This window comes from Homo sapiens, chromosome 14 (assembly GCF_000001405.40).
Source record: "Homo sapiens chromosome 14, GRCh38.p14 Primary Assembly".
NCBI lineage: Eukaryota > Metazoa > Chordata > Mammalia > Primates > Hominidae > Homo > Homo sapiens.
The window spans coordinates 55,147,316-55,173,283 of NC_000014.9; the positions used below are offsets into that span (position 1 = coordinate 55,147,316).

The following is a 25,968-nucleotide window of genomic DNA, read 5'->3' on the forward strand; positions in this document are numbered from 1 at the left end:
TGACCCCAAAAAGACCCAGCCATAGAGGAGAAGCCGACATCAAGGATAACAGAATGAACTAGGAATAGAAAGTTGGACCTTGATGTCATCACTGAGCTATTGATTATATAGTACCTGAAATCACTTTGATAACTTGTGAAATAATAAATTTCCTTATTGTTAAGCCAGTTTGAGTTCATTGCTTGTTTGGGTAATTCAAATAAGCCATGTAGGAAAAAGAAATATACATAAACTAGGGTTTTCTAATGGCCCAGGGCCATGAACAGCTGTAAGTTTTCGAAACAATTCAGTGATACATCTTATTAAAGACATTTACTGACATTGTCTTATTATGATCTGCTTTATTTTTGAGAGCAAAATATTGTTGTGTTGCATATTGCTTTGTATAAACTGTAAATCTTGGGTTTCTTTGCACCAATCTTTTAAATGCTCATGTGACTGATATATGATTGATATGATTTTTTTCAAAAGAAAAAAGCATTTCCTTAATGGCTCTTGGCCATGCCAATGGGAAAATAAAAACAAAAAGGTAAGGATTTAATGCGCATCTCTAATGATTGAACTGTTTGAAACCGCAGCATGTCAAACTGACTTCGGAATCCGAAAAGCTCATCTAAAGAAATTCAGAATACTCTGGAATATGTAATACCCAAAGCTGTTCAACGTCAACAAATTTAGGAGTTCAAACTAAGAATAAAGTGTAAAAAGATGCAAATATTTCTGTCACAGGTTAATATTTCAATTAAACTAAAGAATGTTTAAAGTGCTAATAAGTATACTTAGCCTTAAGCTTATTCCTTTTAAACAAGAGAGGCAAGGCACAGTACATTTTTTATTCTGTGTTGAAAATGTACAAAATATCCCCACTTCCCTTGAGAAAGAGTATATCTAAAATACACTTTGATGAACACAGAATATTAAAACATTATATGCTATAGAAGTGAACACAAATACATTTTCTCCAAAATTTCAATAGTCTAAGGAATATATAAGCATTGATAATATGAAGGAAAATGTTTGGATTTATTTTTAAATTCAAAATTCTCCTGGTTGTAGAGGTGAAAAAGTAATCAGGTTACCACCAAAAGAAATGTGTCTGGCATGTTCTTGATGTCTCCTCTCCAGCTGAGTAAATGGATTACTGCAGTTTAGACCTGGCTGGAGAACAAATCCAGAGAAGTCAGTAAAGTATCCATCAAGAGTTTCACCAATTAATTCTTCAACATTCTATAGTGGATTAATTAATAACAAAAATAAACCGGGTGCGGTGGTGCACACCTGTAGTCCCAGCTACTCGGGAGGCTGAGGTGGTAGGATCACTTGAACCCAGGACTTCAAGACCAGCCCGAGCAACATAGCAAGATCCCACCTCAAAAACAAACAAACAAGAAACACGTAAACATTTTCCCTATATAACAATAAAATTATAAACAACAATGATTATGCTACTTTCCAGTAGATCTTATTTCAAATGTATATTACAGTTTTTTTTATTGGAAAGGTATATTCAGAATATATGTACAAAAATGTGAATAATATGTAAATGGACTCAAGCAGTGTATGCAGAATGAATAAAACTGAGGCTGTATCTTAAGCCACTTACATAGATTCCATAAATCCTAAACCATATAATAGCACTTAATAGACCTTTTAATACTGTGTGATCCTGCTGGGATCTTTTTACTCCCTCAAGCCCTGCTTCAAGTTCAAATTATGCTACTGGGGCAACCAATAATTTGGGTCTAAAATAGACATCTAAATACTAATATTTACAGAAGTGAAAAAAATATCAGACTAAATGATAAGGTATTAAGACTTAACAATGAGAACATATAAGATAATTGTGATGTACTCTTAATCACATTACTATTAAAATATTACGATTTGGTAATCTCTGGATTTACTTATAACAACATACATTCTCAGAATCAATCATTCAGGGTTCGATCTGGGAACAGGGTTAAATCAGGTTTACATAAGTTGGCTTTATGCTGAAAGCCCTGATCCTCTAGGTCTCAGTTTATGATTAAAGAAGGCTAAAACCAAGAAAGAATGGTACGTGGGTCACAGTAACACATTTCATTCTGCTCCTGAGACACAGGGCAGCCCAGAGCCTGACCACAAAAAAGGCAGCTTTGAAAAATAATGAAAGACAAGATATACAAGGGTCTTTAAGGAATTTGTGGCTTATGGAAGCTAAGTATTTGCCAGGTTTCATGAAGTTAACTAAAACTGTGGTTGTTTGATCCTATACTTGCTTTATGAATGAATTTCTCATATTCTGAGATTAAAGAAGAATAAAACCAAGACCGTTTTCTGATCTATTCTAGTAATTAGTCCTGGAAAATTCCAAGGTAAGGCTGTAACCACAGGTGTAAACCATAAGAATCACTTGATGAAGAAAAAAATGACAAATCCCTAACTCCAGATCATTGAAATAAAAATATCGGCCAGGCACGGTGGCTCACGCCTGTAATCCCAGCACTTTGAGAATCGGGGCGGGGGGGGGGCATCACCTGAGGTCAGAAGTTCGAGACCAGCCTGGCCAACATGGTGAAACCCCGCATCTCTACTAAAAAATACAAAAATTAGCCAGGTGTGGTGGCAAGCACCTGTAATCCCAGCTACTCAGGAGGCTGAGGCAGGAGAATCGCTTGAACCCAGGAGGCAGAGGTTACAGTGGGCCAAGATCACACCATTGTACCCCAGCCTGGGTGCAAGAGTGAAACTCTGTCTCAAAAAAAAAAAAAAAAAGTCTGGGATGGGGCTGAAACCAATGCTATATATATAAACAGCAGGAAAGAGAGCACTATTTAATTCGTGCCATAGTGCCAGTATCAAAGGTATGAATCAGACAGCTCTACCTAATGTGGAATTTACAGTTAATAAGGAATTTTATTCCTTAAGTTATATTTTTGGAATGCGTTCATATTATACCCTGAATAAGAGATGAAATGTAAACACTGTATGCCTATGTGCATCTGTACCTATATATAAATTAACATGAGAGAGATAAGAGCTTTTACAGAAGGCTTCACAAAAGGGCTGTTTGAACTAGATTTAGAGGCAAGAGGTCACCAGAAGTAAAAGCAGGGAAGTAGCCACTAAAATAGCAGGACATAAATAACCAATGATGACTGAAGGTGGGATAGATATTATTTCCCCAGAAGGGCAGAAACTTTGCCTTATATTTTTCTTGAATCACTTAGAAATATATTCAGATATTCAAGTACCCAGTTTGTCAGAGCAAATTTGATAGAAAAACCATATAGAAAAACATATCTTCAGGGTTAATATTAAAACATACTATATTTTAAAGTATATAAACACCAAATTTTTCTTCATTCTGTGAAAAATGAAGAGTGAGTAAGCAAAACAATGACAAGATATACATTTTAAGCCTTGTACACAAATAGAAAAGCAATATTCATTTTATAAAACAAATCTAGAATATAAAGGGACTTGTCAAGTTGGAAAACTTACTGAATCAAGAAGGTGGCATTCAGTAGTGAGACTTTTATTATCAAATAGTTCTGAAAAACAACAAAAAAAAACTTTTTAAAGAATATTCTCACATTCGAGGGCTGTTAGAAATGGACAAAGCCATGAAAAATATGAAAAGTTCCACATATCAAATGCTAAGACAAAAATATAGACCCCTATGCTATAATGTTTTTTGAAAGTAGTTAAATTCTTATCCTTAACTTTGGTATAAAAGCAGACTTCTGTAAACAAATCTCATGCTTGTAACATTAAAGGTACCCAGAAAATGCTGATGAAGAACAGCTGGAGGACATTAAATGTCTGGCCGAGGTTAAAACCTTTTGTTTTACCATAGGCCCCAGTTAGACCAGCTACAGACTAACTGATGAAAATGGCAGGTAAAACTGGCACACATTATAACAAAAATATAGGAGCCATTTCCTATTGCAGAACCATCACAACAATATAGGTAGAACTAGGCAGTAGGGAAGAAAAATAGGATATTTTGAAGAAAGACTTGGGGATATGTGTTGAAAAGGACAACTAAAAAAAAAGCCCAGGCTGGCCAATGTGGTGAAACTCTGTCTCTACTAAAAATAAAAAAATTAGCTAGGCGCGGTGGTACATGTGTAGGAGAATCGCCTCAACCTGGGAGGTGGAGGTTGCAGTGAGCTGAGATCACACGACTACACTCCAGCCTGGGCAACAGAGTGAGACTCCATCTCAAAAAAAAAAAAAATCTTGAGGGAATTGTTCTAATTCAGGGTCTTCACTAACAATGAAGGATCCTCAATAGTTAGATCTAATGTAAAATGGACCTTATAGGATAATTTATACCTTAATCCAAGTTCATTTCTTTAATAAAGGCTCGTTTAAATATATTTTAAATATCTCACCTGACTGAGAAATTTTAGTTTCCCCTTCTTCTAAGATGCTATTTTGTGAAGCTGTATTTTTTTCAGGGCTACTCATCAAAACATCCTGTGATGTAATTGAAGAATTCAGTTCCATTCCTTCCACAACATCTGAAATTCCTTCTTTTTTGTTAGTATTAATATCATCTGCTACTCCACCAGCAAGAAGAGGCAAACTCATTCTCTCACTGGATAAACAATCCACCTTCAAGTCTGTCTTATTTACAACCTGGAAGTAAAAATGGCATTATATTTAATTATCAATTTAATTACTTGGAACAAATTTTAAAAGTCTTGTTGCTATTAAATACAAGAAAAACAGAAGGATGACATCCCGGACACAGTCTTAAGAACATTATAAATCCTACTATCCTGCTTCTTCAACAATTAGTTCAGATAATATTATAGAAATAGTATGATTGAAGGCAAGTTTCTCAGCAAGTACCTATACTCTAGCTCAGGGACTGGCAAACATTTTCTGTAAAAGATCAAATAGTAAATATTTTAGGTTTGTGAGTCACAGGGTCTCTGTCATAAGTACTCAACTCTACCACTGTATTGCAAAAGCAGCCAGATAGAATACATAAACAAATGTGTGGCTATTACAATAAAATATGATTTGTAAAAATAGGGGCCAAAGTTTGCTGATTTCTGCTCTAGTTCACTGGTTCCATATTCATTCTGATATGAGTTGAAGAATACAAAATGACACTATGGTTTTAAACAACCCAAATGTCATTGAAACAAGAACTACAATTCTACATGACTGATTTAGATTTCCAACGGAAATTCTGGGGATGCTTTACAAAGTTACTTTCTATAATGATATAAACATATGACATACTGGGCTATCTAACCACACTGGAATTGTACTTACATGATTTTCTTCAATTAAATCTGGTAATCCAGGACACTGAGCATCTTCTATGCTGCTCCTAAAGAAGAAAAAAAGCAGCATTACACTCATAAACATATTGTTATTGTTTCACTTGTATTTTGAGTCTTTCCTTTAATGATGGCAATTAGTTTAGGGAATGGATCAAACATGGAGCCTGGTGCAAGATCAGGCGTGATCCAGATAGATTAGTTTTGGACTATAGCTACTGCAGGATGGCCTTACAAACTAAATGCATTCTTCCCCAGAAAGCTCACAAGTCTGTTACCATGGTGGTCAGTCAGGGTCAGGTGGCTCTACCAGCAATACTCTGAATCTCAGCCAAATCCAGAGCTATATATTAAAGAAAAGTCAAAAAGAAGGTGACTTCTGGAGACAGAAGCAACAATTCAATTATTGTCTAGCTGGAGTTAGCTACATTTACTCGTTACTTGTTAATCCAGGTACCTGCTAAGAAACTTGACTTCAATCATACTATTTCTATAATTTTATCCGAAAGTTCAAAAAGCGGAACAGGAGTTACAATGTTCTTAAGTCTGCTGCTTGTTAACAAGTAAATGTAGCTAACTCCAGCTAGACAATAATTGAGTTAGAATACAAGGTATTCTAATCCTGAAGTTACTAGCTTGTATCTTATTAGAAATATCTGTTTTGGCCAGGCGCCTTGGCTCACGCCTGTAATCCCAGCACTTGGGAGGCAGCGGCGGGTGGATCACGAGGTCAGGAGATTGAGACCATCCTGGCTAACATGGTGAAACCCCGTCTCTACTAAAAATACAAAAAATTAGCTGGGCGTGGTGACATGCGCCTGTAGTCCCAGCTACTTGGGAGGCTGAGGCAGGAGAATCACTTGAACCTGGGAGGCGGAGGTTGCAGTGAGCCGAGGTAGTGCCACTGCACTCCAGCCTCAGCAACAGAGCGACACTCCGTCTCAAAAAAAAAAAAAAAATTTATCTCCACTTCTTTCAAGTTACTTTTTAAAAAAGATATGCTCTATTTTTCTAGTGTCCAGCTTTACTTTGCCTTTATTACACAAAGTTGCTTATTTGTATGATGCCCTTTGAGGATGTTTTGGGGAATCCAAAACATTTTTAAAGAGTACTTATGACTCAAATGCAATTATGAATCTTCTTAGCAAACAATAGTAAACTACAAGATATACAAAGTAGGCCGGGCATGGTGGCTCACGCCTGTAATCCCAGCACTTTGGGAGGCCAAGGCTGGCAGATCATGAGGTCAAGAGATCAAGACCATCCTGGCCAACATAGTGAAACCCCGTCTCTACTAAAAATACAAAAATTAGCTGGGCGTGGTGGCGCGTGTCTGTAGTCCTAGCTACTCGGGAGGCTGAGGCAGAAGAATCGCTTGAACCCAGGAGGCAGAGGTTGCAGTAAGCCGAAATCGTACCACTGCACTCCAGCCTAGGCAACAGAGTGAGACTCCACCTCCAAAAAACAAACAAAAAAATCTAGAAGCATATCTAGCCCATAACAGTTGTTCAGTACACATTAACTCCCCCCCCTTCAATATGCTCTGCCATCTGTCAAGAAAACAATCTCAAGGTACTTTCTACAAAGCCTGGTAAAAAGTGTCCATCTCTCAACCACCTTGGGGAGGCATTAGCACTGCTGCTTTGTAGATGATGAAAGTGAAGCTAAAGAGAATTAATTACTTGCCCCAAAGTTGCATAGCTAGTAAGTCACAGAGCTCTTCTCAGCTCAGAACTGTTGAGCACCAAAGTTGTAGTATGTTTAGCACCAAAGGATACCATATTGCTTCTTTTCTTCTTACTGCTGCAGAATTTACCCAACTAAACGTGACCATTTAGTATCCTGAAACCTTAAGCTTTAGTTTCCTCATTTATAAAAAGGGAGTACTGCCTATATGTTGCAGGGTCATTATGAAATTTATTAAAAATATATGTCTGGCACCTTTTACCATCTTAACAATCTGAAATGGTATTTAGTATCAGCAACTGTTAAACTCTTATTAACATGTTAAAGAAATACCTGCTTTCAGGAATACTCAAAAACAAAGTCTTCTTCACATGTTCACTTTTCGTATTCTGAGGACCGGCATTTTCTGGTGATGTAGTTTGTTGTGGAATGCCCATCTCATTTCTACTCTGAGATACAGCTTTGTTGACAGACTTAGGTGTTCCAAGTCTTTGAGAAGGGCCTTCAGAAGAGACAGAAAGTCCTAGAAGATGAGAGAAATCACCTCAATACCAAATAGTTCTTTTGCTTTTCATTATAACTAGGAATACGGTGAAAATCCTATCAATTAGCCTCTTTCTCCTGTCAAATAATGTCTGTTAAAGACAAATGCCTGGGACTTTCTGTTAAAGATAGTATTTAAATGCATATTAGATGCTGCTTCCTTTTGACATCCCACTACTTTTACATGAACAGAGATAATTTTTTTGTTGTTGTTGAGACAGAGTCTTACACTGTCACCCAGGCTGGAGTGCAGTGGTGTGATCTCTCGGCTCACTGCAACCTCCGCCTCCCAGCTTCAAGTGATTCTCTTGCCTCAGCCTCCCCAGTAGCTGGGACTACAGATGCATGCCACCACGCCTGGCTAATTTTTGTATTTTTAGTAGAGATGAGGTTTCACCATGTTGGCCAGGCTGGTCTCGAACTCCTGACCTCAGGTGATCCACCTGCCTCAGATTCCCAAAGTGCTGGGATTAGAGGTGTGAGCCACTGCGCCAGGCCTGAACAGAGATAACCTTTTTTTTTGTTTTTGTTTTTTTAGAGATGGAGTTTCATTCTTGTTGCCCAGGCTGGAGTGTAATGGCATGATCTTGGCTCACTGCAACCTCCGCCTCCTGGGTTCAAGTGATTCTCCTGCCTCAGCCTCCCGAGTAGCTGGGATTACAGGCACCCGCCACCACGCCTGGCTAATTTTTTGTATTTTTAGTAGAGATGAGGTTTCACCATGTTGGCCAGGCTGGTCTCGAACTCCTGACCTCAGGTGATCCACCTGCCTCAGCCTCCCAAAGTACTGGGATTACAGGTGTGAGCCACCGTGCCTGGACACAGATAATCTTAAAAAGCAGAACTCTACAAGGACAAAGGAAACTAAAGAAGAGATAGCAACAATAACAATATTTTGGAAGCTATAATGTAGATTGTTGAGTGGGACTTAGCAGACTCAAGAAAACTAATTCTAAGCCACCAATCAAGAAAAATGAATTGGCCGGGCGCGGTGGCTCATGCCTGTGATCCCAGCACTTTGGGAGGCTGAGGCAGGTGGATCACGGGGCCAGAAGATCGAGACCATCCTGGCTAACATGGTAAAACCCCGTCTCTACTAAAAAAATACCAAAAAATCAGCCGGGTGTGGTGGCAGGCGCCTGTAGTCCCAGCTACTTGGGAGGCTGAGGTAGGAGAATGGCGTGAACCCAGGAGGCGGAGCTTGCAGTGTGCTGAGATCGTGCCACTGCACTCCAGCCTGGGCAATAGAGTGAGACTCTGCCTCAAAAAAAAAAAAGAAAGAAAAATGAGAATCAACCCAATTTCTACCACATAACCCCTCAAAAGAACTGGTGGCTCCAAGTATCTCTGCAAGTGGAGATGAAAATGGAGCTAAACACAGAAGGAATGGCTCAAAGTCAGTTTAAACAAGAAGAGCTCAGATTCCTTTCCTCATTCTGCACAGCAAAGCAACTGTCATCACCCACCCCCATCACCAAAAACAGAAGGGTCTCTGGTTTAGAGGATACCAGATACAGTTGAGAGACAGGGTACTACATGGAAAATAAGGGAAATAAGTGAATATTTACACAAAGTGTTGAGACACTTAGCTTTCTTCCCCTACATGGCTCCTGAAAGACTGGCAGCCAGAATGATACCTTCCAGGAAGCAGATGGAAAGCATCTTCTCTGGGGAATCTGAGTAGACTATGAGAAAAGTCTTAAATGCAGTGATGTGTAGGTTCCCAGCATAATGGCCCCGCTAACAGAAGGGCCCCGAAAGTAAAGGTCCTACCCATGTGCAGAGAGTTTCCAGTCAGCTTTTTAGTGCCCTATTCTTAACCATGTGCAGGCAGTGAGAGATCACCAGATTCCCGAGGAAAGCCTCTAAATACAAGAGACAGAAACCAAAAACAACTAGATGAAAGTACCCTGAAACAAATACTGTCTATAGTGGATGAAGAAAACATAAAAGCTATCATTAATATCCTTGGAAAGATAAAACAATACACTGATGAAACAAGTGCAGAATGTTATAAAATGAACATTTGGAGAGTAAGAAAGGGCTCTTGGGAATTAAAAACATGATAGCCAGCATGAAAGTTGAGGAAATCTCCAGGAAGTAGAAGAAAACAGTAAGTACAGGAAAGAAAGATTAAAAAGTCTACCAGAAGAAAAATGTGTTTTTGAAAAAGATCAAACCTTGTCAAGAGAGATGGTGGTAAACAACAAAACTCCAGTAAGACTCCAGTAAGTCCAAAAGACTCCAGTAAGAATTGAAAGTAGTTGCTTCTAGGGATTGGCAAATGGAATGAGAAGGGCTTCTTCAGGGACTACTGTTTTGTAATTAGCCTCATATCAACTATGTGCTCTGTAACTAAAACTCAATTTTAAATGACCAATTTTTGCCATAAACCTTAATCTCCCTATCTATAAGGACTGAGTTGAGTATATGAAAGAACAGAATGATGAGCTTATAGCTGTAAAAACCACGAAGATCCTTGACAAGTAGTAGAATGGAGTCATGTTATTAGCAGTAGTGGGAGATTCCTGGGTATCCAGGGAGTGTAGCTGCTTAAAGGAAACAAAAGTACACCAGATTTGATACCTAAACTAACAAGAATATTATAATATACTTGAGGATCACTATAAATATCAGATAGCAGGTATTAGAGAACAATTTAGGTTTACTTTGAAAAAACTTCCTGGTGGACATCTATGGCTTATAAATAAATAATTTCAATTGAGATAAATTCAATTCAAGAAAAATAGTCTGTGGAAAAAAAAGCTATGACAAACACTGTGAGAAAATCACAAAAAAATGATTTCCTGAATATTAAAAACTGCTTTTACTGGAATATTTTTAAATTGGAAAATTAGTACGTTTACTACCTTTCAAAAAGATCTGAGCAAAAGTTTTAATACAAATGCAAATAAAACCAAATCCACTTTGCATAAACTTCCTTTTATTTTTTAGAGATGGAGTCTTGCTCTGTCACTCAGGCTAGAGTGCAGGGGCACAATCATAGCTCGCTGTAACCTTGAACTCCTGGGCTCAAGTGATCCTCCTGCCCCAGCCTCCCAAGTAGGTGGGACTACAGGCATGTACTGCCAGGCTCGGTTAATATTTTATTTTTTTGTAGAGAGGGGATCTCACTAAATTGCCCAGGCTGGTCTCAAACTCTTAGCTTCAAGTGATCCTCCTGCCTTGGTCTCTCAAAGTACTGGGATTATAGGCATGAACCAACACACACAGCACATAAGCTTCATTTTAAAGCACAGCTAGACAAGTGTGATAGCTGGATGCTCAAGTTTCCTTTGCATTATAAATTCTAACCAAACTTCTAACTGACCTGAAGAAAATCAGTTTACTTCTTCATGCTTCCGTCATTTCTCTTACCTCTTGGGATCCTGTGACCTTTCTCATAGACTGTAGGGTTACATGGTAATTACATTACAGATGTGAAATCACTTAGAAAGTAGAAAAGCAATCTTAGAAGACTTATCGCACTTAAACTAATCTGATCATACCCATCAAAATGTGATTTACAGTGTTTGTGAGCGAGCATAGTCTATTTTCTAAAAATCACAGAAAAACTTATGTCTCTTCATGTAAAAAACTATTTTTCACCTTACACAAGCCCCCATCTATCCCAAATATTTCTCTTAAGTAGTCTCAGGAAAAACAAAAAAAATAAAAAATCAAAAACAACTAACCTGAGAATAATTTAACAGGACTTTCAACTCTGAAAAATCCAGCATCGAACACTATTTTATCAACTTCCTTTGGTATCACAGAAACTGCTGTTTCAGCACATTCTTCCTGCCTAATTCTCTCTCTCATTGCATTTTTTATGGCAGCTAGGCGATTTCTCGCTGCAATTCTTCCAGCATCATCCTGTTTTGGTTTACTTGCTATACCTGAGACAACTTTTTTCTGCAAAGAGAAACTAACATAGTAAAGCTGCCCATTACCATCTTACAAGAAAAACACACAACAAACACAAATTCATCACTTAAAAATTTAATTTTTAAAAATAAAGTATACATAAAATATTTCACATTCATCATATATTTATCAAGTTCCTAGTATGTGCTAAAAGGTAAAAAGGTAAAGGACAGAGTTGCTGCCCTCAAGGAGTTTGCAGCTTAGTAGAAGATCTGGGAAGAATAGTAAGAAGGATAAATGTCCTGTTAGAAATAAATTTAGGGGACATCCTTTAGATTATAACCATGACACCCCCCCCCCATAAAAAAGAAAAAGCAAAAAAAGTAAATAAAAAAAAAGTAAAACATTAAAAGAAAATAAATAAGGATGACACCTAAACCAATCTTCAGGCATCAGGAAAGGTTGTAGGAAGTAGCACCTATGCTGAAACCATATTTCATCAAACTAAAAGATGGGGTGAGGCAAGTGCTAGAGAGATGTTTCCAAAGCCAGAAATGAAACAAAGAAAAGTGGATTTAAACAATAGCTAGATTATAATAAAAATCACCTGCATGTAATGGTCTTAAGAAAGTCACATTTACACAGAGGACAAGGGAACAGAGAGTTATTGGTAATTTTTAAGCAGAAGATTAACATCAAGCTGGTGTTTTAGAAAGATCACTCAGACTAAGGAGTAAGAGATGAAAAAAGTGGACAGATTCAAGAGATATTTGAAAGGTAGAATTGAGAGGACTTACTCATCTATTGGATGTGTGTGGGGTGGAGATGGTGAAATAAAGCAAGCAAAGGGTATCGCTCAAAAGGATATCTCAAAAGAGATATTGAGACTTCTATCTTGAACACCTGGTGGGATGGTAACAGCATTATGAGACAGGGCAACATTGGTGTGTGTGGAGATGCTGTCAGTTTGGGATATATTGATTTTTAAGGTATATTGAGTCATGATATATAGAATTAGAGCTTAGTAAGTGTGGTCTGCAATACAGACTTGAGAATCATCACAGGTTGGGTAAGATTGCACAGGAAAATTACGGAAGGAAAGAAGAGAGTAGAGGTAGGAATTCTAAATAACAAAAACATTTAAGGGATAAATGGAAAACAAATATGCAAATATGACTGAAGAATAGGCAAAGAAGAAGGAAATATAATTTCAAAAACAAGGAAGTAGGCCAGGTACAGTGGCTCACAACTGTAATCCCCGCACTTTGGGAGGCTGAGGCAGGAGGATCACTTGAGGCCAGGAGTTCCAGACCAGCCTGGCCAACATGGAGAAACACCAGCTCCACTAAAAATACAAAAAATTAGCTGGGCAAGGTGGCACATGCCTGTAGTCCCAGCTACTCAGGAGGCTGAGGTGGGAGATTGCTTGAACCTGGGAGGCTGAGGTTACAGTGAGCCAAGATTGTGCCACTGCACTCCAGCCTGGGCCACACACCTAGACTCTATCTCAAAAAATAAATAAAATACAAAAATAAAAATACAAGAAAAAAAGTTAGCTGGGCGTGGTGGCACACGCCTGTAATCCCAGCTACTTGGGAGGCTGAGACATGAGAACAGCTTGAACCTGGGAGGCAGAGGTTGCAGTGAGCCGAGATGGCGCCACTGTACTCCAGCCTGGGCAACACAGCAAGACTCTATATAAAAAAAAAAAAAAAGTAGACCATATTTAATACTGCAGAAAGGTTAGATTTATTTACTACTTTTTGTTATTTTTGAGAGAGTCTTGATGTGTCGCCCAGGCTGGAGTGCAGTGGCATGATCTCGGTTCAATGTAACCTCTGCCTCCCGGGTTCAAGTGATTCTCCTACCCCAGCCTCCTGAGTAGCTGGGATTACAGGCGCCCGCCACCATGCCTGGCTAATTTTTTATTTTTAGTAGAGACAGGGTACACCATGCTGGCCAGGCTGGTCTTGAACTGACCTCAGGTGATCTGCCTGCCTCAGCCTCCCAAAGTGCTGGGATTACAGGCTTAAGCCACCACGCCTGGCCTAGAAGAGTTAGAATTTAAAATTAAGTGCCTAATAACTTAAGCAACTAGTGGATTAATAATTTAGATAACTATTCTAAAGTTATAGGGGGGTAAAACTGAATTGCAATGAGTTGGAGAAATAAAGGAACAAAAATAATAGAGTATAGAAAACATTTTAGGATGCTTGTCAGTGACTGGATAGAAAGAAAAAATGGGGGTGTACAAGTAATTAAAGGGAGAAGCAGACACCACAGGTTTGTTTTAATGTAAACAATGATAAGACACTTAAACATGTTTAAAGACTGATGGAAAAAAGGGAGGAAAGGAAAACAAGACTAACTGATGGAATGAGGGATTAATAAATAAGAGGTAGTAGGGAGTGGTATCCAAGTATAGTATAAAAGATTAGCTTTGTTTGATAATCTTAAAGGTAGCCTATAAAATAAAGTAGGAGAGAGACACCTGGTGATAACAGGCAGAATTACAAATCTCTATAGGACATAGCCATGATCTGCATCACTGATGATATTAATATTTCCAGGACTAAATCCTTAATAAGAAATACCCACAGTAGCTTTAATAATGAAGTAGCATCCTTCACTATTTAGTAGTTTTGAAATCCATTCAATCAATTTAGTCACTGTCCTCAGGGTCCTTGTCATGAGACTTTATTAGTAAAAAAAAAATTTTTTTTTTTTTTTTTTTTGAGACTGAGTTTTGCTCGTTGCCCAGGCTGGAATGCAATGGCGTGATCTCAGCTCACCACAACCTCTGCCTCCCAGGATCAAGTGATTCTCCTGCCTCAGCCTCCTGAGTAGCTGGGATTACAGGCATGCGCCACCTCGCCCAGCTAATTTTTGTATTTTTAGTAGAGACGGGGTTTCTCCACGATGGTCAGGCTGGTCTCGAACTCCCGACCTCAGGTGATCTGCCCGCCTCAGCCGCCCAAAGTGCTGGGATTATAGACGTGAACCACTGTGCCTGGCCTAGTAAAATATTTTTTAAGGCCGAGCGCAGTGGCTCATGCCTGTAATCCCAGCACTTTGGAGGCTGAGGCAGGAGAATCACTTGAACTCAGGAGTCAGAGGTTGTGGTGAACCAAGGTCACGCCACTGCACTCCAGCCTGGGCAAAAAGAGCCAAACTCTGTCTCAAAAAAAAAAAAAAAAAAAAAAAAAAGAATTTTTTAAAAATAAGGTTTAAAAAACAATACTTTAACAAGTTAAACTCTTAAGATAGGATTTAAGACAGTTTTTATTTGGATTACATAGTATAATAAAATACCAATCTAGACAACCTGAGTTTATAACTACAGGCATTTTTCTCATATCATAAAGAAAAACTGACAATGCTTAGTTTGAAAAGTGTCCACCCAAACCAAAAACTTTGAATTCAAAAACATTACTAGAAAGATAATTACTAGAAACAAGAACAAAATCTGTCATGTTAACAAAGCACAAGAATAACAGCATCCATTTCATACGACTGTTGTAAGGATTAATATATATAAAGTAATTGGAATAATATTTGACACATACTAAGCATTATATAAGTTACCTACTACTATTACTATTATAACAAAATGTGTAAGTACAGTTTAAAGAATAAAACCTTTAGGCCGGGCACGGTGGCTCATGCCTGTAATCCCAGCACTTTGGGAGGCCGAGGTGGGTGGATCATGAGGTCAGCAGATGGAGACCATCCTGGCTAACACAGTGAAACCCCGTCTCTACTAAAAATACAAAAAATTAGCCGGGTGTGGTGGCTGGCGCCTGTATTCCCAGCTACTTGGGAGGCTGAGGCAGGAGAATGGCGTGAACCCGGGAGGCGGAGCTGGCAGTGAGCTGAGATCACGCCACTGTACTGCAGCCTTGGTGATAGAGCGGGATTCCATCTCAAAAAAAAAAAAAGAAGAAGAAGAATAAAACCAACACTCATATATCCAGTATGTGGTAACTTAGAAGCCCTCTGGGTACCCCAATTCAATCACAGCCCCTCCTTTCTTCTCTCTAGACATAACTATCCTAAATTTTATGTTGATCGATTTCCTTGCTCTTTCTTCAAAGGCAATCAAGTACACTCTAAGTAGTATAAAGACTTAACTTTGTAAAATAATGAGAAATCTAAACCTAAATGTTTTTAAAACTTAAAAACAAGAAGTAGAAGAATCTATATTAGAAATTTGGATGTATGTATAACAGTTCCTTAACTAAAAAAAAAAAAATTGGATATAAAACCCACAAACTTACCCTAAAGACATTTTTGTTCATATTATGATTCATATTATTATTGACTTGCCACCCAGATTCCTCAAGTTTGATCAGATTGTTGAATTTGTGGATTACATCTTCTATCTGTTAATAAAGCACAAGTTTACCAGATTAATGCTAGCCATATTAAAGTTATAAACGAATGAGCTGAAGACTAAAAAAAAATTAAAAATAGTGATTCAGAAATGATGAGTTATTAAAACTGGACTGAGTCATTCTCAATTTAGTGTTCAAATAATTTTTATGGTAAAGTTTTTCATTATCTTTCGTCTTACAAACCTCCAAAATCTACATAAAGAATATCATACATGAATAACTCTCCTAGATTATTTTTGACTAAAATGCTAAAATGGTAGAAAAGATATCCTAAATGTTGTTTCTTAAATTACACAATGTGAACACAATCTAATTTTTTTTTTATTTATCCATTCCTCCACTGAAGGACATCTTGGTTGCTTCCATGTTTTGGCAATTATGAATAAAGCTGCTATATTGCTAAAAACATCCGTGTGCAGGTTTTTATATGGACATAAGTTTTCAACTCATTTGGAGCGCAATTGCTAGATCGTATGGTAGGAGTATGTTTAGTTTTGCGAGTGACTGCCAAACTGTCTTCTAAAGTGGATATAACATTTTGCATTCCCATAGGCAATGAATGGAAAGTTCGTATTGCTCCATACCCTCCCCAGCACTTGCTGTTGGCAGTGTTTTGAATTTTCACTGTTCCCTAGTAGGTATGTGGTAGTATCTCACTGTTGTTTTGATTTGTAGTTCACTAATGACATATGATGTTGAGCATCTTTTCATATGCGTATTTGCCATCTGTATATCTTCTATGGTGAGGTAACTGTTCAGGTCTTTTGCCCATTTTTAATTGGGTTGTTCGTTTCCTTCTTGCTGGGTTTTAAGAGCTCTTTGTATCTTTTGGATAACAGTCTTTTATCAGATACATCTTTTGCAAATATTTCTCCGAATCTGTGCCTTGTCTTCTCATTTTCTTGACATAATCTCATTTTAAAAGATACAAGTGTATTTAATAGGATGGAAATATAATCCCCATCTTTCTGATACTTCCAGTCTCCTACGAAGAGTTACGCCACTGACAACAGTTTGGTAACCATGCTTTTAGTCTCCATGCTATGCACTTATACACACATATCCTCTTAGCTTTGCTCTCCCTCAAAAATATGTAAATGTCTCTGGGCACTGTGGCATATGCCTATAATCCAAGCTACTTGGTAGGCTGAGGCAGGGGGATTGCTTGAACCGAGAAGGTCGAGACTAGCCTGGGCAACAAGGCAAGACTCCATCTCAAAGGAAAAAAAAAAGTAAATGTCAAAATGACTCAGAATTACACTCATGACCAACTGATTTTCAACAAAGGTGCCAATACAATTCAGCGGGGAAAAGACAGTCTTTTCAACAAACAGTGCTGGGAAAATTGGTTATCCATAAGCAAAAAGATGAATTTAGACTCACAATCTCATACCATACACAAAAACTAACCAAATGGATCATAGACTTAACTGTAAGTACTAAAACCGTAAGACTGTTAGGAGAAAACACAGGAGAAAATCTTTGTGACTTGTGGTTAGGTAAGAGTTCTTAGATGTGGTGTCAAAATCACAACATAAAAGAAAAAAAAAATGGCCGGGTGCAGTGGCACACCCCTGTAATCCCAGGACTTTGGGAGGCAGAGGCAGGTGGATCACTTGAGGTCAGGAGTTCAAGACCAGCCCGGCCAACGTAGTGAAACCTCATCTCTACTAAAAATACAAAAATTAGCCAGGCATGGTGGCATGCACCTGTAATCCCAGCTATTCGGGAGGCTGAGGCATGAGAATTGCTTGAACCCGGAAGGCAGAGGCTGCAGTGAGCCGAGATCATGCCACTGCACTCTAGCCTGGGCGACAGAGTGAGACTCTGTCTCAAAAAAAAAAAAAAAAGAGAAATTTGATAAATTTAACTTTAAAATAAAAATATTTGCACTTCAAAACATGCCATTAAGAGGATTAAAAGTCAAGCTACAAACTCAAAGAATATTTGCAAATAATATTTCTCATAAGGGACTTTTATCCAGAATACATAAAGAATACTTAAAACTCAATAATAAAGACAATGAAATTTAAAAATGGGTGCAAAAGATTTACACAGACATCTCAGTAAAAGATACATGAATGGCGAATAAGCTCACAAAAAGATACTTAATATCATTACTCATTAGAGAAATTCAAATCAAAACTACAATGAGGTCAGGCATGGTGACACCTGTAATCCTAGCATTTTGGGAGGCTGAGAAGGGTGGATCGCTTGAGCTCAGGAGTAAGACCTGGCCACCTGGGTAACATGATGACACCCCACCTCTACAAAAAAATATAAAAATTAGCCAGTCGTGGTGGCACATGCCTGTAGTCTCAGCAACTTGGGAGGCTGAAGCAGGAGGGTTGTTTGAGCCCAGGAAGTGGAGGTTGCAGTGAGGTGAGATTGTGCCAATGCACTCCAGCCTGGGTTGACAGAGCGAGACCCTGACTTAAAAAACAAAAAAAAAAACCCCAAAAAAACCCTACAATGAGATACCTCATACCCACTAGGATGGCTATGCAACAATTCCCCCTTATCTTCAAAGAATCTGTTCCAAGACCCCCAGGGGATGCCTGAAATGCAGATAGTACTGAACCCTATATATATGTTTTTTCCTATTCATACATACCTATGATAAAGTTTCATTTATAAATTAAGCATAGACATCAATCAACAATAAAATAGAACAATTATAACAATATTCCGTAATAAGTTATATGAATGTGGTCTCTCCTCCCTGCCAAATATCTTATTGTACTATACCTCAGGTAACTAAAACCACAGAAAGCAAGACTGCTGATAAGGGGGGGCTACTATAATAAAAAAGACAATAAGTATTAGTGAGGATGTCGAAAAACAGAACACTCATACATTGTTGGTGGGACTGTAAAATGGTATAATCACTTTGGAAAATAGTTTGGGCAGTTTCTTAAAAAGTTAAACATAAATTTACAATATGACCTACCAATATCTAGGCATCTGCCCAAGAGAAATTTAAAAAGATACATCCACACTAAGATTTGTGTGGAAATATTCACAGGTTATTCATAATCACCAAAAAGTGGAAGCAATTTAAATGACCATCAATTGGTGAATAGTGATATATCCATACAATGGAAAACCACTCAGCAGTAAAAAGGTGTGAAGTACACAAGGCAAGCTACAATATGGATAAAACTCAGAAAGATGCTAAGTGAAAGAAGCCAGATGCAAAAGACCACCATAAGGTATGATTCTATTTATATGAAATATCCCAAAAAAAGGCAAATCTACAGAGACAGTAAGTAGATTAGTGGTTGCCTAGGTCTAGGAGTAGAAATGGGGATTGACTGCAAACAGGCAGGAGGCATCTTTTTATACTGATGAAAATGTTCTGGCTGGGTGTACTGGCTCACACCTGTAATCCCAGCACTTTGGGAGGCCGAGGCGGGTGGATCACTTGAGGTCAGGAGTTTAAGACCAGCCTGACCAACATGGTGAAACCCCGTCTCTACTAAAAATACAAAATTAGACAGGCACGGTGGCACATGACTGTAATCCCAGCTACTTGGGAGACTGAGGCAGGAGAATCGCTTGAACTCAGGAGGCACAGGTTGCAGTAAACTGAGATTGTGCCATTGCACTCCAGTCTGGGCAACAAGAGTGAAACTCCATCTCAAAAAAAAAAATACATATATATATTCTAAATTTGGATTGTGGTGATGGTTGCATAACTCTGTAAATTTACTAAAAATGATTGAACTGTACATTTCAAATGAATGAATTTTATCATATGTAAATTATACCTCATATAGCTCTTTTGTGTTTAAAAAAAAAAAAAAAAGTGCCCCAATGGCCAACTTGAAGTGGCTCCCACTAAGCCAAAGCTGGGAAATGAGCATCAGTCAAGATAATGACTATAGGCCAGGCACAGTGGCTCACACCTGTAATCCCAGCACTTTGGGGGCCGAGGCAGGCAGGTCACTTGAGGTCAGGAGTTTAAGACAAGCCTGACCAACATGGCGAACCCCATCTCTACTAAAAATACAAAAATTAGCCTGGCGTGGTGGTGGGCATCTGTAATCCCAGCTACTCGGGAGGCAGAGGCAGGAGAATCGCTTGAACCCAGGAGGCAGAGGTTACAGTGAGCCAAGATCACGCCACCGCTCTCCAGCCTGGGTGACAAAGCAAGACTCCATCTCAAAAAAAAAAAAAAAAGACTATAAACAATGTAAACATATCATACTTTTAAATCTGCAACTAATAATGATACAAAAATCACCACAGAATCTAACAATCAGAATTGAAGGGTGCTAGTGAACCAACTATTATGAAAACTGGTAAATATATAAAAACTCATCATAAAGTAATGCTTAATTATGACTAAACACTATTCATGTCTGGGCCATACAGCTGCTGAGATTCCATTTCCTTCCTCACAACGTTTTCTTTAGACTTAATAATTGTTTTGCTTTTTGTTTGCTCAGGGTTTTGGTTTGGTTGAGACAGGGTCTCGCCTCTTTCTGGGAATGGAGCCCACTCTCCTCTTTTCTTGGGTAACTCTCTCATCTTTGTGAAGGACATTCTCATTTTCCTGAGAAAGGGTACATGGAAGGAGGTGAACTTTGAGATCTTGTGTGTCTGAAAATTGCCTTTCCACCCTCATGCTTGATTGGTTCGGTATAGAAATCCAGGTTGGAAGTTAATTTCCCTCAGAATTTTCAGAGTATTGTTCTAGTTCATAATATTGCTGTTGAGAGATCAATGCTACTCTAACCATTGATGCTTTGTATAAAATTTGTTTTCTTTCCCTGGATGCTTTAGCCTACCCTCTTTATCCCAGAGTTACATAACAGTATCTAATTATGTAAGTTGCTGTGGGTCTACTCAGTGCTAAACACTCAACAGGCTCCTTCATTGTTCACTTGCTCCCCAATTTTTTTTTCTGTTCTCTTTTTCTGGAATTCCTATAATTTGGCTATATTTCCTGGACTGGTCCATGTAATTTTCTTATCTAATCTCTTCTGTCTTACAGCTTGTACTACAGGCATGTGCAACCATGCCTGGCTAAGTTTATTTTCTGTAGAGATGGGCTCTCACTATGTTGCGCAGGCTGGTCTTGAACTCCTGGGCTCAAGTGATCCTCCCATCTCAGCCTCCCAAAGTGCTAGGATTACAGGCTTGAGCCACTGTGCCTGGCTGAGATTTCCTTAACTTCATATTCTACCTATTGTATCTTACATTTCTGTTCTCATATTGCTTAACTTCAAAGAGCTATTTATTCTCTGAATGTTCTTTTTCTAACAGGTATTTTTACTTGACAGATGAAACGTCTGGTCTCTTTGAGAATATGAATACTTGCATTTAAAAGTCCATCCAAATAGCTCTCTTCCTAGATGTTTGCTTTGGCCTTTTTCTTTTAGGTTTGAAGCTTTTTTCAATGTCTATTGTTGGCTGTTGGTTCTTGAAATGCTATTTTATATGCTTATTTCTAAAATAAGTTCAAAACGCTAGAGTCATCTTCCCCCATACCTTTACTGATCTTCCTAGTAACTTCTTCTATCACAGCAATTTATATGTTAGAATTATATTTTGTATCTCAGTCACTAATCAAATTACAAACTCCTCTGGGACAGGGAATGCACTATTTTATCAACTCCTAATACAATACTCCTAACACAATAAGAGATTAATACAATACGGGCACACAACAGGAACTCAGTAACTGTTAGCTGAACTCAACTACCAAAGGCCAGTTGACTCATTTCTCACAGGTCGAATCATTATAGACTATTAAAGAGTTGAAAATAATTTCAGTTTTCAACCTATATAGAAATTATCCTGGCCGGGCGCGGTGGCTCATGCCTGTAATCCTAGCACTTTGGGAGGCCGAGGTGGGTGGATCACGAGGTCAGAAGATCGAGACCATCCTGGCTAACACGGTGAAACTCCGTCTCTACTAAAAATACAAAAAATTAGCCAGATGAGGTGGCAGGCGCCTGTAGTCCCAGCTACTCGGGAGGCTGAGGCAAGAGAATGGTGTGAACCTGGGGGGCAGAGACAGCAGTGAGCCGAGATCACACCACTGCACTCCAGCCTGGGTGACAGAGTGAGACTCCGTCTCAAAAAAAAAAAAAAAAAAAAAATTATCCTGAGAATATATGGGAGAAGAGGACATCAGTCATAAAATTTAGATCATGTTTTACAGTTTATCAAAGTGCTTTATAACATCTTATTTAATATTACAGGTACATAAGCAGCTACTATTACCCCATTTTACTCCTGCTACTTAAAAAAAAAAAAAAAAAAGCCCTAAGTTAATATATTTGAAATATTGAACCACATACCTGAAAACTAACCATATCCCAAAATCCATCCAGATCTGTACAGGTAGTCTCCTTTATACCTCGTTTATATTCACAATCATCAACCAGTCCTTCAAACTGTTTAAACCTTTCCTTCATAAGGAGTCTTGTTTGACCAACTGCTGTGCGAATAAGATCTTTAGCTGAAGGAAATAAGAGATTTTTTAAAATTAAAGGACAAAACGGGACATTCATTGCAAGTCAGCCCACTGATAAGACTTCACTCCAAACATCCTAGGGCCTACAGGTTGTTAAGCAAAACAAAAAATATCTACCACAAAACTTTGTCATACAAATACTGAGTACTAACTATTTGCTTCAATTCCTGCTCAAAATTAACAATATTTTCTCATACATATTGCTATATACTAAATAGCATTCTACTTCTTGTTGTACTTTATAAGAACTCAACGTCAGCCGGTGTGGTGGCTCATGCCTGCGGGCGCGGTGGCTCATGCCTACAATCCCAGCACTTTGGGAGGCCAAGGTGGGCGGCTCACCTGAGGTCAGGAGTTCGAGACCAGCCTGGCCAACATGGTGAAACCCCATCCCTACTAAAAATACAAAAATCAGCTGGGCCTGGTGGCAGGCACCTATAATCCCAGCCACTTGGGAGGCTGAGGCAGGAGAATCGCTTGAACCCAGGAGGCAGAGGTTGCAGGGAGCCGATATGGCGCCATTGCACTCCAGCCTGGGCAACAAGAGCAACACTCATCTTAAAATAATAATAATAATAAATAAATTAAAAAAAAAAAACTCAACGTCAAACAACTCACTGCAAATAATTATCTAAGAAGGACTTCATACTGACAGCACATAATTTTTTCTAAACAGCTTCCCAAATAAATCAGATTAAGAAACTCTTCAGAAAATCTTTTCCATATTGATTTAGGTAATTTTCATTCAGAGTATATTTTTGTGTAAACAATATCAGATATCAATTGATATCACCCATAAAGTCATATTTAAAAAGCTAATAATATTCACTGTTACTTGCTTGGTTGGTTAGAAAAATGTCTAAGTCAAAGGAACGACAGTCAATATTCTAATTACTTACATCTTTTAAGTTATATACCATTTTAGCACAGATGTTAGGGAACATATGTTGAGATATGAAAAACACTTGCTACTTTATTGTAGACATCAAGTTAAAAAAGAAAAAATTCTTGCTACTTTGAATGATAATGAAACAATAAAGTTAGGCAATGCTATATTTTTATGTTTCAGATAAACGTAACCATAGTAAAAGAAACAAAGCAAACAAAAAATACAAATGTTGCCTCACCATCATCTGGAATGTCCAATTCAAGTTTCCTGTCCCACTCGAAGCAATGTGAAGTTAATTTCTCAGTTTCTGACTGGAGGATATTTCTAAAATTATGACATACATTTCAGTTCTACAAGTGGTTTTTACACTAGTAGCTAAGTATTAGCATAACATCATGATACATAACATTAGGAAGTTATAAAAGGGAGCCACAATATTTTCCCAAAGTTGATACTGAATTATTTATAAACTGTGATATATTAAAATCCATAAATACAAGTTGATACCCTTTGTATGTACATCCTTTTATACCTAAAACTTATGTGGCTGGATAATACCAAGAACCTACTTTTTAAGCTAACATTTCTAGTTTGTTCTGTTCTTTTTCAGAGGTTGATCAAAGTCAGACATTCCTAAATGTGCATCAGATTCTCAGCATTGTCTATGAAACTAAAGCCAACTCAACTGTCAAGAGTAAATTAAAGCTAAAAACTGTTAATCCCAGGATTATAGTGATGGGGCCTCACAGATCCTAATTATTAGGCTTTGCTTGCTTAAAGGTAGTGGTTCTCAACTGGGTCAATTTTGCCCCATTCTAGGGAACATTTGGTGGTGTTTGGAAATATTTTTGATTGTCATGACTGGAGGAGTGCTACTGGCCAGGGATGCTACAAAACATCCTACGATGTATAGGATATATACCCACAACAAGTATACAATCTAAAATGTCAATAATGCTAAGATTGAGAAACCCAGGCCTAAAAGAAGTTTAATTTGTGTCTATGGAAAAAGTATCCTAGCATGTAGAGAAACTGGAACCCTTGTATGCTGTTGATGGGAATGTAAAACGGCAAAGCCACTGTAGAAAACAGTATGGCAGCTCCTCAAAAAATTAAAAATAGACTTACCACACAACCCAGCAATTCTACTTCTGGGTATACACCCAAGATAATTTAGAGCAGGGTCTCAAAGAGGTATTTGTACACCCATGTTCATAGCTGTTCACAACAGTTAAAACATGGAAGCAACCCAAGTGTCCACTGACAGACAAAGGGATAAGCAAAATGTGGTATATACATACAATGAAATATTATTCGGCCTTAAAAAGGAAAGTCTGACACATGCTACAATGAATGAACCTTGAGGACATTATGCTAAGTGAAATAAGCCAGTAAAACAAGACAAATACTACATAATTCTACTTAAATAAGATACTTAGCAGAGTCAAAATCAGAGACAGAAAGTAGAATGGTATTTACCAGGGGCTAGGAGGGAATGGCTGAGGAATGGGGAGTTATTTTTTAGTAGGTACAGAGTTTCAGGCACCTACCACCACGCCCAGATAATTTTTGTATTTTTAGTAGAGATGGGGTTTCACCAAGTTGGCCAGGCTACTAGTCCTGAACTCCTGACCTCAGGTGATCTGCAAGCCTCAGCCTCCCAAAGTGCTGGGATTACAGGTGGGAGCCACCGAACCCGGCAGGTTTTGTTTCTTTAAAAAAAAAAAAAAAAATTTAGGGCCAGACTCAGTGGCTCATGCCTGTAATTCCAGCCAGCACTTTGTGAGGCTGAGGCAGGCAGATCACTTGAGCCTAGGAGTTCCAGACCAGCCTGGGAAACATGGCGAAAACCAATCTCTACTTAAAAAAAAAAATACAAAAAAAAAAAAAAGTATTTAAAAGATAAATGAAAATCACCTAACATCAGTTTCCCTCCACTGTATTAAGGTTATAAATATTTTAGTTTTGGTTTTAAATGTCTAGATATTAGTACAAAATTCTTTATTTTTATTTTTTTTAAATACAAAATTCTTACGCTAGAAACAGACATAGTCCCAGCTCCTCAGGAGGCTGAGGTGGGAGGTCGGGAAGTCAAGGCTGCAGTGAGCCAAGAGCGAGACACTGCACTCCAGCCTGGGTGACAGAGTGAGACCCTGTCTCAAAAAACAGAAACAAAAACAAAAAATTTGAGTTGTTCATATTCAATGACACAACATGACGATTAATAAGGAGGCAGAGGGTCGGGCACGGTGGCTCTCGCCTGTAATACCAGCACTTTGGGAGGCTGAGGCAAGCGGATCACAAGGTCAGGAGTTCGAGACCAGCTTGACCAACATGGTGAAACCCCGTCTCTACTAAAAATATAAACATTAGCTGGGTGTGGTGGCACACGCCTGTAATCCTGGCTACTCAGGAGGCTGAGGCCTGAGAATTGCTTGAACCTGGGAGGCAGAGGTTGCAAAGAGCCAAGATCGCGCCATTGCACTCCGGCCTGGGCAACAGAGCGAGACTCCGTCTCAAAAAAAAAAAAAAAAAAAAAAAGAAGAGATAGCAGAAATGGTTTAGTTCTGACATTATCTAGTTAGGTAGATTGCTTAATATTTCAATAACTCAGTGGAATGACACAATGGATTAGCTACCTCTAAAATCCCTTATAATTCTAAAACCCAGTGCTCTAAAAAAGAAATTAAGCTGGACATAGTGGCTCATGCCTGTAATCCTAACAGTATGGGAGGCTGAGGCAAAAGGATCGCTTGAGCCTGTGAGTTCGAGACCAGCTTGGGCAATATCATAAGACCCCCGTCTCTACAAAAAAAAAAA

General features: G+C 38.4%; 1 protein-coding gene across 4 annotated transcripts in view; it reads right to left on the reverse strand.

Annotated features, from left to right (window-relative positions):
* Nucleotides 820-25,968, reverse strand: part of DLGAP5 (DLG associated protein 5) — a 43,451-nt gene continuing 18,302 nt past the window's right edge. For 2 of the 4 annotated variants that reach the window (NM_001146015.2, XM_047432016.1), the window contains exons 11-20: nucleotides 23,387-23,472; nucleotides 22,084-22,244; nucleotides 15,656-15,760; nucleotides 11,207-11,426; nucleotides 7,302-7,491; nucleotides 5,275-5,332; nucleotides 4,380-4,626; nucleotides 3,484-3,533; nucleotides 1,279-1,369; nucleotides 820-1,158 (exon numbers count right to left, since the gene is read on the reverse strand). In NM_001146015.2, coding sequence (NP_001139487.1) covers nucleotides 1,139-1,158; nucleotides 1,279-1,369; nucleotides 3,484-3,533; nucleotides 4,380-4,626; nucleotides 5,275-5,332; nucleotides 7,302-7,491; nucleotides 11,207-11,426; nucleotides 15,656-15,760; nucleotides 22,084-22,244; nucleotides 23,387-23,472 — 1,228 coding nt within the window. In that variant the 3' untranslated portion in view covers nucleotides 820-1,138. The remainder of the gene's footprint in view (nucleotides 1,159-1,278; nucleotides 1,370-3,483; nucleotides 3,534-4,379; nucleotides 4,627-5,274; nucleotides 5,333-7,301; nucleotides 7,492-11,206; nucleotides 11,427-15,655; nucleotides 15,761-22,083; nucleotides 22,245-23,386; nucleotides 23,473-25,968) is intronic. The other 2 variants (NM_014750.5, XM_017021840.3) reach the window with 1 other exon arrangement.